Source organism: Homo sapiens, chromosome 9 (assembly GCF_000001405.40).
Source record: "Homo sapiens chromosome 9, GRCh38.p14 Primary Assembly".
In the NCBI taxonomy this organism is placed as follows: domain Eukaryota; kingdom Metazoa; phylum Chordata; class Mammalia; order Primates; family Hominidae; genus Homo; species Homo sapiens.
Genome location: NC_000009.12, coordinates 95,950,915 through 95,965,677, shown reverse-complemented (window position 1 = coordinate 95,965,677; position 14,763 = coordinate 95,950,915). Strand labels below are relative to the sequence as shown.

General features: G+C 37.8%; 1 protein-coding gene across 16 annotated transcripts in view; it reads right to left on the bottom strand.

The window, feature by feature from the left end:
• The window catches only part of ERCC6L2 (ERCC excision repair 6 like 2), a 165,402-nt gene that overhangs the window by 75,415 nt on the left and 75,224 nt on the right, over window positions 1-14,763 (bottom strand). For 15 of the 16 annotated variants that reach the window (NR_164677.1, NM_001375291.1, XM_047423357.1 and 12 more), the window contains one exon: window positions 9,665-9,764. Coding sequence is in view for 15 of the 16 variants with exons in the window: in NM_001375291.1 (NP_001362220.1) it covers window positions 9,665-9,764 (100 nt within the window). In the remaining variant the exon portion in view is untranslated. Of the gene's footprint in view, window positions 1-9,664; window positions 9,765-10,755; window positions 10,951-14,763 lie in introns of those variants that run through there. The other variant, XM_047423362.1, reaches the window with a different exon arrangement.

Genomic DNA, 14,763 nt, shown 5'->3' with positions numbered 1-14,763 from the left:
AAAAATTAGCTGGGCATGGTGGTGGGTGCCTGTAATCCCAGCTACTCGGGAGGCTGAGGCAGGAGAATTGCTTGAACCTAGTGGAATCTGCAAGCAACCCGAGGTGGCGCCACTGCACTCCAGCCTGGGTGACAAAGACTCCGTCACAAAAAACAAAAAAAGAGAAATGCTTAACTATTGAGATTATCATCAGAGTTCATTTGCACTGTAATAAGTTACTCTAGGCAATTAAAATTCTTGTTAATAACAGCTGCCATTTACTGAACATTTATTACATGTATAGCATTTTATTTCCATACTCTCATTTAATCCTTACAACCTTATATCATCTCAATTTTAGAAATAAAATAACTAAAATTTCTGTATTTTAAAAATAAAGTAACTCAAGTTTAGAGAAATTAAGTGACTTGCTCACAGCTGCCAGCTAAGAAGTGTCATTCCTAGAATTTGAACCTTGGTTTGGCTGAATCTAAAATTTATACTATTAACTAATTTCTCACTTTCAAGATGCCTCTCTTAAAAAAAACCCTCGGGACCTTCATTTAAAGAAGTTATGGATCAACATACCAACTTGATCAATTTGATACCAATGAACATGGGCTGTAATCCTGGGAGTACAGAATTACAATAACAATTGATACAAGTGATAGCCCGGGTACCTACCTATTTTACCCTTGTTACTGAAACTACCTTAAACACTGATATTGTCAGACTGCAGGACCTGTAACTATAATCACCAAGGTAATTTGTAAGCCTTAATTTGAGTCTTTATAAGCTTCCTAGCAAAGTTTTATTACAAAATTTATAAAAAGCACATTATTTTGTACTAAAGTGGCTCCAGTAAAAGTGGAAACCAGGTGCTTCCATCTGTAGGCTAACTAAAAATGAAATCATGTTCAAATTCAAGAAGTTAGGGGGAAAATAGTAACTAAAAAATGTAGCTTAGTTCGTAGCTTATGAAAAACCCATACAAGGGAGAAAATGCTTGGATCTCATCATAACAATAGACAAAATAAAGAAAGAAGTAAAAAGAAAAGAACATTTATGATGTTAAGAAGTTCATGGCCGTTCTTCCATCTTCAAGGCCAGCAGTGTGGCATCTTCATTATTTTTCTCTCTGACCCTTTGCTTCCTTACCACGGGTTATTAGGCAGTAGGGTCAGAGCTAGCAGAGATGAAGATGTGCACATCTGACCCTTATAAAAAATCCCTTGTGATTACATTGGCCCATCTGGATAACCCAGGTGGTTTGGGGGATTACAATGTGAACATCTTTGGGAGACTATTATTCAGCCTACCACAGTAAAGAAGTGCAAAAAGAATGATGGGAGCAAGTCGAAATGACACAGAAGCCACCCTAATGGGTTCCCATTGGCCAAATATAAGACAATGTGAACATCAAATAAATAGTGATATTCAATGTGTTGTAATCTATTACTAAAATAGGAAGCCATGAGACCACACAAATTAAATAAATAGAAGGGAAAGCTCTTTTTTAAATGGTAGAGTGCCAAACAACAACCAAGAAGGATAATGGAAATAGAAAAATCACCACCTGACAACCATTATAGTGGTAGCTGACTCAGGCAGGAATCACGAATGAACACTAAGGGTTATGCGTGCAGGTCTGATGAGGAACTGGCAGTCTCAGAGGATCTCCCCATAAACTACATATCAATTACAAAGAAAAAAATAGTAACTTTGCAGTGGAGAAACTTAGCAGACACAAACTTGACCTGCGATCAAGGTTAACGTGAGCAGTAGTAGGGCAGGTCACCCCCATGTGCCTTCTGACTGATGCAACGAGAAGAGCACAGTATCATGTCTGTGGTATTCCTGCCAATACTGCTTGGCCTGAGTCTGGACATGAGGAAACATCAAATGGACCTAGACTGAAGGACATCCTACACAAAGGCCTTATTCTTTAAAGCTGTCAAGGTCTTGAAAGACAAAGCCTGGATAATATTCCAGGCTGAAGAAAACTGAAGAGACACAAGTAAATGGAGCCATGAACCTTGATGAAACCCTGGACCAGAAAGGAAAAAGAGAGAGGTGGGGAAACTGAATGGGTCCTATGGATTACAGCATCATGTTTTATCAAAGTTAATTTCTTCATGTGAATAACTGCATTTTGGAGAGGAGTGTGGAGGGTGGGGAAAGCGAGTTGTAGAACCGTATATACAACTGAGTGTTTAGAATGCATAAAACTGGTTTTTATGTATATTTAAGTAGGAGTGTACTTCTTTTGGGGAAATACATACTGGAAAATTTAGAGTGTTGGTAGGAGAGTGTTGCTTCTTTGGGGAAATACATACTGATGAGAAGTCTAACTCTCTCAAATGGCTCAGAAAAAGAATAAAGATAATGGCTGAGACAAAGAGAAAGCAAGTGTGTAAAATGTCAGCAAATAGGGAATTTGAGTGATTTGAGTGAAGCTAACTGGGGGTTCTTTCTGCTGTTCTTGCAATTCTTCTGCAAACACTTACAAATAAAATTTACACACACACACACACACACACACACACACACAGACGAGATGACTTTCTGAATGCCAAACTTTAGATTGTTTAAATGCTCCAAACCTGAAGGAGCACAGCTGCTGTAAAAGTGATGTTTATATTTTTAAAATGTATAAAATATCTGAATGCATCATCACAACAGATGCAACAAAAGGTATCAAAATAAAAGCCCCTCATGAACAATACAGGTCACTCCTTATTAGTCTAACCAGTGCTGTAACGTTTAGGTGCATCCTTCTAGGTATCTTTCAATGAAGTTAAAGCTATTTATACATACACATGCTCCTTAATTTATGATGGGGCTATATCTAGATAAACCCATTGTAAGTTGAAAACACCATTAGGTCTAAAGTGAGTTTTGGACTTACGATAGGCTTATCTGGATGTGGCCCCATCGTAAGTAGAGGAACATACTTCATACATAAATAGGTATCATTTTAGCACCATCATAAAACTGAAAAACATTAAGTTGAACCATGTCATAAATCAGGGACAGTCTGTCACACAGAAATAGCTTTATTTCTAAACACACTGAAACACTGTAGATATTGTTCTGTATATTGCTTTTTCAACTCACTTAAAAATGTCTTCAGACATCTTGCCACATCAGTACATTTGATCTGACTATAATTTTTTAAATTTTGCTGTCACAAAGTAATATAGGTATCAGAATTTATTCTGTTACTGTCAGACATTTAGGTTGTTTCCTTTGTTTTTTAAACAAATGCAAGCAATGCTAAGTAAAAGCCCTTGTCATCCTTCACTGTGCGTATGTGAGAGGATTTCTGTCAGTTAGCTATGGAGACTCTACATATACCTATACCAGTTGTACTCTCAACAGTAGTATATGAGCATCTCTCAAATGCCCCAACCAACAATGAACAGCACCAATCTCCCCAACCCCCCCAAAACACCTCAATATGCATTTTTTAAAAAAGCTTTTGCAGAATATACAATGCAAATGGTCTTATTTTATTTTCTATCTCTAGATTATGAGTGTGGTTAAAAAGATTTTTTCACATGTGTTAACCACTTGCATTTTTAATTCAGTGAAATGCCTATTATTCTTTTCATTGGTTTGTAGGTGATACGGTTTGGCTGTGTTCCCACCCAAATCTCATCTTGAATTGCAGCTCCCATAATTCCCATGTGTTGTGGGAGGGATCCAGTGGGAGATAACTGAATCATGTGGGCGGTTCACCCCCTACTGTTCTCGTGGTAGTGAATAAGTCTCACGAGATCTGATGGTTTTATAAGGGGAAACCCCTTTCGTTTGATTCTCATTCTCTTTGCCTGCCTCCATGCAAGATGTGCCTTTTGCCTTCTGCCATGATTGTGAGGCCTCCCCAGCCATGCAGAACTGTAAGTCCATTAAACCTCTTCTTTATAACCCAGTCTCTGGTATGTCTTTACCAGCAGCATGAAAACAGACTAATACAGTGGGAGTTCTTTATATTTTGTACATGCTGCTCTTTTATTACATATATGGCAAACATATGCTCCTAGTCTGTCTTTGAATTTGGTTTGCAGTTCCTTTGTCATACAGAAGTTTCATACAAAAATATAGTCAAATTTACAATACTCTGTATTTGCCTTAGGGGCTGCACTAGTTTCCCAATTCTGCTGTAACAAAGTACTACAAATTGGATGTCTTACAACAATAGAAATTTATTTTCTCATAGTTGTGCAGCTAAATCTGAAATCAAGGTGTCCATAGGGCCATGCTCTGTCTGAAGATTTTAGGGAATGATCCTTCCTTGCCTCTTTCTAGCTTCTGGTAGTTGCTGGTAATCCGTAGCATTCTTTGGCTTGTGGTGGCATCACTCCAATCTCTGCCTCCATTGTCACATGGTGCTCTTCCTCTGTGGCTGTCTGTATCCAAATTTCCCCCTTCTTATAAGGTATCAGTCAATGGATTAGGGACCACTCTCATCCAGTGTGATCGCATCTTAACCTCATCTGCAAAGACCCTACTTACAAATAAGATCACATTCACAGGTACCAAGGGTTAGGACTTCAACCTATCTTTTGAGGGGAAGGGGTGCAATGGACTCAAAACAGATGCTTGGTTAAAGATTTTCATATTTATGTTCATGAGAGATATTCATCTGTCATTTTCTCTTCTTGCAATGTCTTTGTCAAGTTTGGTATCAGGATTCTACTGTTTTTGTGAAGTAAGTTGGAAGTGTTCCCTCTTCTTCTGTTTTCAAAAACAATATTAAGTGTTTGATAGAATTTACCACTGAAGTCATCCGGGCTAGAATCTATCTTTGTGGGAGAGTTCTGAATTAACAACACAGTTTCAACCAGCCTGGGCAACAGAGTGAAACTCTATCTCTACAAAAATAAAAATAAAAAATTGGCTTGGTGTGGTAGCACGCACCTATAGTTCCAGCTACTTGGGATGCTGAGGTGGGAGGATCATTTGAGCCTCTCACAGTTCTGGGAGCCAGAAATCTGAAATCAGTATCACTAAACTGAAATCAAGGTGTTGGCAGGACCACGACCACACTCCTTCTGGAGGCTCTAGCAAAGAATCTACTTCTTGACTCTTCCAGCTTGCGGTGGCTGCCACCATTCCTTAGCTTCTGGCACACCACTCCAATCAATGCCTCTGTGGTTACATTGTCTTCTCCTCTTCTGTCTGTGTCAAATTGTCCTCTAGCTCTTTCTTATAAGGACACTTGTGGATAATCCAAGATAATCCCCGAATCTCAAGACCCATAATTTAATCACATCTGCAAAGATCCTTTTTCCATATAAAGTACCATTTACAATTTCCAGGGATTAGAAATTGATATTTTTCGGGGCCAGTATTCAGCCCGCTATAGTGCCTTTTTCAAAGTGTTTATTTTCCTAAACTGTTGGGTAATTATTTTTGGCTGGGCTATTCATCTGCCTTTAAATACTTCACATGCTTATCTCTGTCTACTGCAGTGCTTATCTGAAATAAAGTGGAGGGTGCAAGTAATTAGTCTTCTGGGCAACAGGAGGGACTTTCTTCTGAATATTAGAAAAATTTGGAGCTCTGTCTTGCTTCTTTGTTTCCAGTACTTCTACTTATTGTTCTCACTTGACAGTAGACACCTCTGCTGGCTGTAATTTGGTCCAAATGGGATAGGATTATAAGGGCTAAACCGTCTTGTTACACCATCAGTGATACCCTGAAGAGGGCTCCACAGTTACCCTAAGGCTCCCTTCTTTTTTAGTATCTGCTGACTCTAAACTTGGAATATCCAGAGGCTGCACCTACCTTTTCAGTAGTCGTCTTCTGAGTTTAACTTGGCTTCTTCCTTCAATCTGATCCCAACTTCCTTTTGTCTTTTAGGACTCCTTACAATTTTGGGGCCACCAAGAAAACTCTTCTTGCTTTCTAACATTTTTACAGGTTTATTTTTTTTTTAAGAACATAATTTTTTTTTGAGAAGTGTCTGTTCATGTCCTTTGCCCACTTTTTGATGGGGTTGTTTTTTTCTTGTAAATTTGTTTGAGTTCATTGTAGATTCTGGATATTAGCCCTTTGTCAGATGAGTAGGTTGTGAAAATTTTCTCCCATTTTGTAGGCTGCCTGTTCACTCTGATGGTAGTTTCTTTTGCTGTGCAGAAGCTCTTTAGTTTAATTAGATCCCATCTGTCAATTTTGGCTTTTGTTGCCATTGCTTTTGGTGTTTTAGACATGAAGTCCTTGCCCATGCCTATGTCCTGAATGGTATTGCCTAGGTTTTCTTCTAGGGTTTTTATGGTTTTAGGTCTAACGTTTAAGTCTTTAATCCATCTTGAATTAATTTTTGTATAAGGTGTAAGGAAGGGATCCAGTTTCAGCATTCTACATATGGCTAGCCAGTTTTCCCAGCACCATTTATTAAATAGGGAATCCTTTCCCCATTGCTTGTTTTTCTCAGGTTTGTCAAAGATCAGATAGTTGTAGATATGCGGCGTTATTTCTGAGGGCTCTGTTCTGTTCCATTGATCTACATCTCTGTTTTGGTACCAGTACCATGCTGTTTTGGTTACTGTAGCCTTGTAGTATAGTTTGAAGTCAGGTAGCATGATGCCTCCAGCTTTGTTCTTTTGACTTAGGATTGAGACTTGGCGATGCAGGCTCTTTTTTGGTTCCATATGAACTTTAAAGTAGTTTTTTCCAATTCTGTGAAGAAAGTCATTGGTAGCTTGATGGGGATGGCATTGAATCTATAAATTACCTTGGGCAGTATGGCCATTTTCACGATATTGATTCTTCCTATCCGTGAGCATGGAATGTTCTTCCATTTCTTGGTACCCTCTTTTATTTCATTGAGCAGTGGTTTGCAGTTCTCCTTGAAGAGGTCCTTCACGTCCCTTGTAAGTAGGATTCCTAGGTATTTTATTCTCTTTGAAGCAATTGTGAATGGGAGTTCACTCATGATTTGGCTCTCTGTTTGTCTGTTATTGGTGTATGAGAATGCTTGTGATTTTTGTACATTGATTTTGTATCCTGAGACTTTGCTGAAGTTGCTTATCAGCTTAAGGAGATTTTTGCAGCGAAAAACTCATGAAAAAATGCTCACCATCACTGGCCATCAGAGAAATGCAAATCAAAACCACAATGAGATACCATCTCACACCAGTTAGAATGGCAATCATTAAAAAGTCAGGAAACAACAGGTGCTGGAGAGGATGTGGAAAAACAGGAACACTTTTACACTGTTGGTGGGACTGTAAACTAGTTCAACCATTGTGGAAGTCAGTGTGGCAATTCCTCAGGGACCTAGAACTAGAAATACCATTTGACCCAGCCATCCCATTACTGGGTATATACCCAAAGGACTATGAATCATGCTGCTATAAAGACACATGCACACTATTCACAATAGCAAAGACTTGGAACCAACCCAAATGTCCAACAATGATAGACCGGGTTAAGAAAATGTGGCACATATACACCATGGAATACTATGCAGCCATAAAAAATGATGAGTTCATGTCCTTTGTAGGGACATGGATGACATTGGAAATCATCACAGTAAACTATCGCAAGAACAAAAAACCAAACACTGCATGTTCTCACTCATAGGTGGGAATTGAACATTGAGAACACATGGACACAGGAAGGGGAACACCACACTCTGGGGACTGTTGTGGGGTGGGGGGAGGGGGGAGGGATAGCATTAGGAGATATACCTAATGTTAAATGATGAGTTAATGGGTGCAGCACACCAACATGGCACATGTATACATATGTAACTAACCTGCACATTGTGCACATGTATCCCAAAACTTAAAGTATAATTTAAAAAAAAAAACAAAAACATAATTTTTGGATTTTTTTTCCCCAAAAGATTGAAAGCCAACCTGGGAGGCTAGAAGGTGTGCTCCATTGGTTAAAATTCCAAACTATCTTTAAACCATATTTAGTGCCTTTTCCTTCCATGATTGCCATCTTATCTTTATTTGTGTCATATAAAGTTCTTAAATTACCTCATCTTCTGAAGCGTGTTTTATCATATACTACTGCACAATGTATATTTTATAACAAGACATTTCATTAAATGAGTCGCATGAATAGGTAAAAAGGAAATGTATATAGTAATGGACTGAAAAAAATTACTACATAATTGAGGAAAGACTCTTACTTGAGAGTAGTCTAAGACAGTACTCAAAAGAACAGCTCCTAAGATGAGTAACTTCCCACTTTTTCCCAAGGTTGGTTAAATAGGTTAGAAAAAAATAATTTTCAAGTAGTTGTGCTATACCAAAAAAAAAAAAAAAAATGAACTGTTTATTACAGAGCTAAAAGCTTTAAGACAAAACAAAAACTGCTGTGTACAATTCTATTTTTAGAATGAAGAAAATAGCATAAATTTAAGATTGGATCATTCTTAGGTTAACTACCAACACATGTGGCAGATGTTTGCTCTTAAATAGATGCCAACTGAACATATAGGAAGCAATTCAAATGTAATATTTATGATTACACGTGAACCTTATTCCAGATTGTCTCAAGTATCCAGTTGTAAACTAAATAAATATTGTTTGTTTAGAGGCATAAATGAAGTAGTAATTGATATCTCAAGCATATTAAAGAGTTAATGCAATTTCGGACGAATACTAAAAGTACCAGGAAAGTAGTTAGCACACTTAAGCTCTATTCCTATAATTTCATTTACTGGGGGATCTCTGGGGTCCCAGTTTCATCATGTACATCATGCACCTCTAAGGTAGTGCTCCCTAATCTTCATGTGATGGCACATGTAGAAAATGGTAACATATGAATATCTACCTGGTGTAAAAAGAAGAGGTTACTCAAAGGCTGGCAGCTAGCTGATATGGTTTCACTGTGTCCCTACCCGAATTTTATCTTGAATTACAGTTCCCATAATCCCCACATGCTGTGGCAGGGATCCAGTGGGTAACTGAATCATGGGGGCAGTTATACCCATGCTGCTGTTCTCAGGATATTGAGTTCTCAAGAGATCTGATGGTTTTATAAGTGGTTTTTCCCTCTTTGCTTAGCACTTCTCCTTCCTGCCATCCTGTGAAGAAGGGCATGCTTGCTTCCCCTTCCACCATGATGGTAAGTTTCCTGAGGCCTCCCCCGCCATGTGAAACTGTGAGTCAATTAAACCTCTTTCCTTTATAAATTACCCAGTCTTGGGCAGTTCTTTATGGCAGCATGAGAATGAACTAACACACTGGCTTAGGTACTCTTGCTGTCCAGAAAGCTGTGGGACCAACATATCAGTGCACCTGTAGCCCATTTGTGGTAAACCATTACATCTTGGCCTGTAATTTGGGGAGCTGTGACCTTGCTACTCAAAATGTGGGCTGATTAGTTTTACTAGGACTCCTGGGAGCTAGTTAAAAATTCCACATCATGGGCTCTAACTCAGACCTACTAAATCACAATCAGTATTTTGACAAGATCCCTTGGTAATTCGCATGTACACTAAAGTTTAAGAGGTACTGCTCTAGAAAACTTTCAGCTCAAAAATTCAATGAACCAAAGAATCTGTTTCATAAAAGTGTATTCAAGGGTAATTTTTATAATCTTATTAAATTCCGCAATACAGTAAGATTTAAAACTTACATTTTACACAAATTTGTTCCTAATTTTTGAAAACAGATAAATGTTGACCTCTGAAACAGAAAAAGGGAAACATATTTACCTGCTTGTATATCTGTCGTAAATACATGATTTCCTCCACAGTTCCCAAGGATATCAGCCTAAGCACTTTGACATCTCTACATTGTCCAATCCTATATGCTCTGTAAAAGGATTAAAAATACAAACAAAAATCAAGTGAAGCAACTTTGGGTTGAAGAGGTAACTTGGGGACATAAAAATGGAAAATCATTAAATTTTTAATTAATTTAAAAATAAACATTTTATGTTTAAATATGCTCTATTTAGTAATAATTCAAAAATTCAAACTCATATAAAAAGCTTATTAAGGAGAAAAAATATTACAGAAAACCTACAAGTATCAACTTCATTTTTGTTATAAACATCACTTTCCACTGTCTAAAAACATTTCCTAAATTCAGGTTTTTCTTTTATAGCAGCTTTAAGCTTACAGATTGTTCCCCAAAGATTTCATTTATATAAAAATCCCCAAAATGCCAACTAATCCATAGTGCCAGAAAGCAGACTAGTGGTTGCTTGGGGATAAGGGGATGGGGAAGAATGGGAGAGGTGGGTCACAAAGGGGCAGAAGGAAAATTCTGGGATGATGGGTATGTTTATTATGTTAATTGTGGTGATGGTTTTACATGTACATAAGTCAAAACTTATCAATTGTATACTTGAAGTATGTACAGTTTATTGCATGTCAATTATACTTTATTAAAACTGTTAAAAAGTAAAAAAAACCACAACTTAGCAAAAAGTAATTAATCAACTGTAAAGTCTATGAAGTGCTGGTCTACAGTTCTCATCCGTAGATGAGGTGGATCTGACTGAATCACTCAGTTTACTGGCATCCAAGGTGTTTCCATACAGACCATAGTGCTAATTAAAATTCTAAACTGATTCATCACAGTGGTTTAACTATAGGTCTATTCCCCACAGCTTCTCTCATATGGAGGCTTTATAGGATGCTCTGTATGAGCACCCAATGCCTGTTACAGTTGCTGAGGGGAACCGGGGCAAGGCCATACTGCCTATATGCTTGAAAATGTCACAATTTGGGGGAAATTTATCTTTGAACTTATAAGGTCACCCATATGTTACATTTGATGTTCTCTCTGCCTCCTTTACCTGTCCCTCCTCACAATGGACTTTTACTCGAGGACATCTTGGATCCTGCAAATCTCACATCTCCAGCAGGAAATGGAGGCTCCTGTGACACAGCACCACCAGGGGTAAGGTACTGCATTCTCACTTCCATTCTGCAACCCAGGAGCAGAGGAGAGGGGCTCAGCATCCCTTTCTCTCCTACAATGTGTTTGGGTTCTAAAGAAAACCAGAAATGGATCTAAGAAAATGTCCTTTGGATGTATGCTTAAGCCAGTTGTTTGGTGAATGGGAGAGATTCCATTAGGATGCACATCCTTTAATCTTTACAGACAAAAATTTTAGACACTTGTTACTGTGCGCCTATACTTCATCATTTCTTGATCCATAAAGCAAGGATTTGTAAGTGATGAGTTTTCACCAAGTGGAGACAAGTGTTGAGGAACTGTTATACGATAGGTAGGTCATTAGCTTTATTTCTGTTCTCAGTTCCGGCTGTCAGAGTCAGTGGAAGGACAGGGAGAGGAAAAGGAATGCCATTTATTCAGTTTTATTGTGAACTAACTTTCAGTGAATACCAAAGCACAGTACACTGTGCTTGGAAGAATACTGGGATAAATAATATGTCTCGATGACCTAATGAAAAAGTACAAAATACAACAAGATCAAAAAAAAGGGGGAAATTTTTCTGTGGTTTTCATTTTGACCAATTTCCTTGACAGCTGTCTGTGGAGAGAGGCTGATTAAAAGTGTAAGCTTTGCAGTAAGACCACATGGATTCAGATCCTGACCCTGCCACTTATTGGCTATGACCTTGAGCAAGCTACTTAAGTGCACTGTGCCTCAGCTTTCTCATATGTAAAATGGGTATAATAGTGCCTATCACATATGGATATTCTGAGTATTAAATGAGATAATCCATGGAAAGCACCAAGAATGACAGTTCCTACCTTACCATAAACACTCAATAAGTGCAGCCATTATTCCTTTGTCCTTATTCTTCCAAATGTACTTGAATAAAATTGTACACAAAATATTAAGTATTATAAATAAACATTGTTATTGGTTAGATGGCCTTTCTGCTTAAGTGTTTCTATGTATTTGACTTTTTCCCTCAGATTAGACTTTTCAAAAGTGTCTCTATTTTATTCTTTTCAATGAATTAGTTACAATTTATATTATGTTCTTATTTTTATCTTAATAATGTAATAATGTGTATAATTCTATTTTCTTTACTTTGTTCCTTTTCTAGTTTTCTAAATTATTCTTTTACTTTTGGCCTTTCTTTTTTAATAAATGAATTTAAAAATTGAAATTAGCACCAGAATTTAAATATTGATCCACAGTAATTTCATTGTTTTTTTTTTTTTTTGAGACAGAGTCTCACTCTGTCTCCCAGGCTGGAGTGCAATGGCTCAATCTAGGCTCACTGCAAGCTCCGCCTCCTGGTTCACACCATTCTCCTGCCTCAGCCTCCCAAGTAGCTGGGACTACAGGTGCCCACCACCACGCCCAGCTATTTTTTTGTATTTTTAGTAGAGACAGGGTTTCACCGTGTTAGCTAGGATGGTCTTGACCTCCTGATCTCATGATCCGCCTGCCTCGGCCTCCCAAAGTGCTGGGATTACAGGCGTGAGCCACCACAACCGGCCTCATTGTTGTTTCTAAATAGCAAATTTTTCTCTCTTGATTTCCTCTTATTGTGGCAAAATATACAAAACAAAAAATTTAATCATTTTAAGCATTTTTAAGTGTACAGTTAAGTGGCATTAGGTATATCCACACTGTTATGCAACTATAACACCTATATAGCTACAGGCACTTTCCAAACTGAAACTCTGTACTCATTAAACAATAACTCCCCATTCTCCAGTCCCCCAGCTACTAGCAACTACCATTCTCTTTTCTGTCTTTGTGAATTTGATGACTCTAGGTACAACATGAAATCATACAATCTTTGTCCTTTTCTGGCAAAAACAGGTATCCATTCTTCGTAGCTGATATTACAGGAAAAACAATTCAATCATGACACCACTGAGTACGATGTTAGCTCTGGGTTTTTCATAAATGACCTTATATGTTGAAGTAGTTTCCTTTTTTTTTTTTATTGAGACGGAGTCACTCTGTTGCCCAGGCTGGAGCACAGTGTTGCAATCTCAGCAAACTGCAACCTTCGTCTCCCAGGCTTAAGTGATTCTCGTGCCTTGGCCACCCAAGCAAGCAGCTGGAACTACAGGCATGTACCACCATGCTGGCTAATTTTTATATTTTTTTTTGTAGAGATGTGGTTTCACCATGTTGGTCAGGCAGGCCTTGAACTCCTGACCTCAAGAGGCACGAGCCAACGTGCCTGGCTTGTTTCCTTTTATTTTTAATGTGTTGTTTTTGTCATCTTTAAAAAGATGTTGAATTTTGTCAAATGCTTTTTCTGCATCAATGAAATGATTATGTGTCTTTTTTCCTTCATTCGTTAATGTGGCATATTACACTGATTTTTGTGGGATGTTGAACTGTTTTTGAATTCCAGGAATAAATCCTACTCTGTGTATCATCCTTTCAATATGCTGCTGAAATTCAGTTTGCTGGCATTTTACTGAGTATTTTTGCATTAACATTCATAAAGATTATTGGTCTGTAGTTTTCTTTCTTGTAGAGTCTTTGATTTTGGTATTGGGGTAATGCTGGCTTTATAGAATTAATTGGAATGTGTTTCTTCCTCTTCAGTTTTTTGGAAGCATTTGAGAAGGATTGGTGCAAATTCTTTTTTTTTTTTTTTTTTTAAGATGGAGTCTCACTCTGTTGCCAGGCTGGAGTGCAATGGCTTGATCTCGGCTCACTGCAACCTCCAACTCCCTCGTTTAAGCTATTCTCCTGCCTCAGCCTCCCGAGTAGCTGGGATTACAGGCACACGCCACCACGCCCAGCTAATTTTTGTATTTTTAGTAGAGACGGGGTTTCAGTGTGTTGGCCAGGATGGTCTTGAACTCCTGAACTCGTGATCCGCCTGCCTTGACCTCCTAAAATGCTGGGATTACAGGTGTGAGCCACCGTGCCTGGCTGGATTGGTGCAAATTCTTTAAATGCTTGGTAGAATTAATCAGCAAAGCCTTAAGGTCCTGGGCTTTACTTTATTGGGAGGTTTTTGATTACTGATTCAATCTCCTTACACAGTTATAGTTATATTCAGGTTTCTATGTCTTCATGACATTCTTCCTAGGTTGTGTATTTCTAGCAATTCATCCATTTCACGTAGACTATTCAATTTGTTGGTATACAAATGTTCACAGTACTCTCTTGAACTCCTTTTTATTTCTGTAAAATCAGTAGCAATGTCCCCTTTCATTTTTGATGTTAATTATTTGAGTCTTCTTTCTCTTAGTCAATCTAGCTAAAGATTTATCCACCATTTTCTTGATCTTTTCAAACAACCAACTCTTGGTTTCATTGATTGCCTCTGTCGTTTTTCTATTCTTTGTTTTACTTATCTCTGTTCTAATATTTGTTATTTCCTTCCTCTGGCTAGCTCTGGGGGTTTTTCCTTTTCCTAGTTCCTTAAGGTGGAAAGTTAATTGTTGATTTAGACCTTTATTCTTTTTTAATGTAAGCATTTACAGCTATAAATTTCCCTCTTAGCATTACTTTTGCTGCATCCTGTAAGTTGTGGTGTGTGTTTTCATTTGTTTCAAGCTATTTTCTAACTTCCCTTGTGAATTCTTCTTCAACCCTTTTGTTAAGTGTGTGTTGTTTAACTTCTACATATTTGTGAATTTTTCAATTTTTCTTCCGCTGTTGATTTCTAGTTTCATTGTACTGTGACTGGAAAAAAATGAATGATTTCAATCTTTTAAAATGTATTAAAAACTTGTTTTGTGGCCTAACACATGATTTATCCTGGAGAGTGTTCATTGTGTACTTAAGAAAAGTATGTATTCTGCTGTCGTTGGAAGGAAAATTCTATATATCTGTTAGGTCCAATTTGTCTATATTGCTGTTCAAATCCTCTCCTTACTTATTGATCTTCTGTCTGAATGT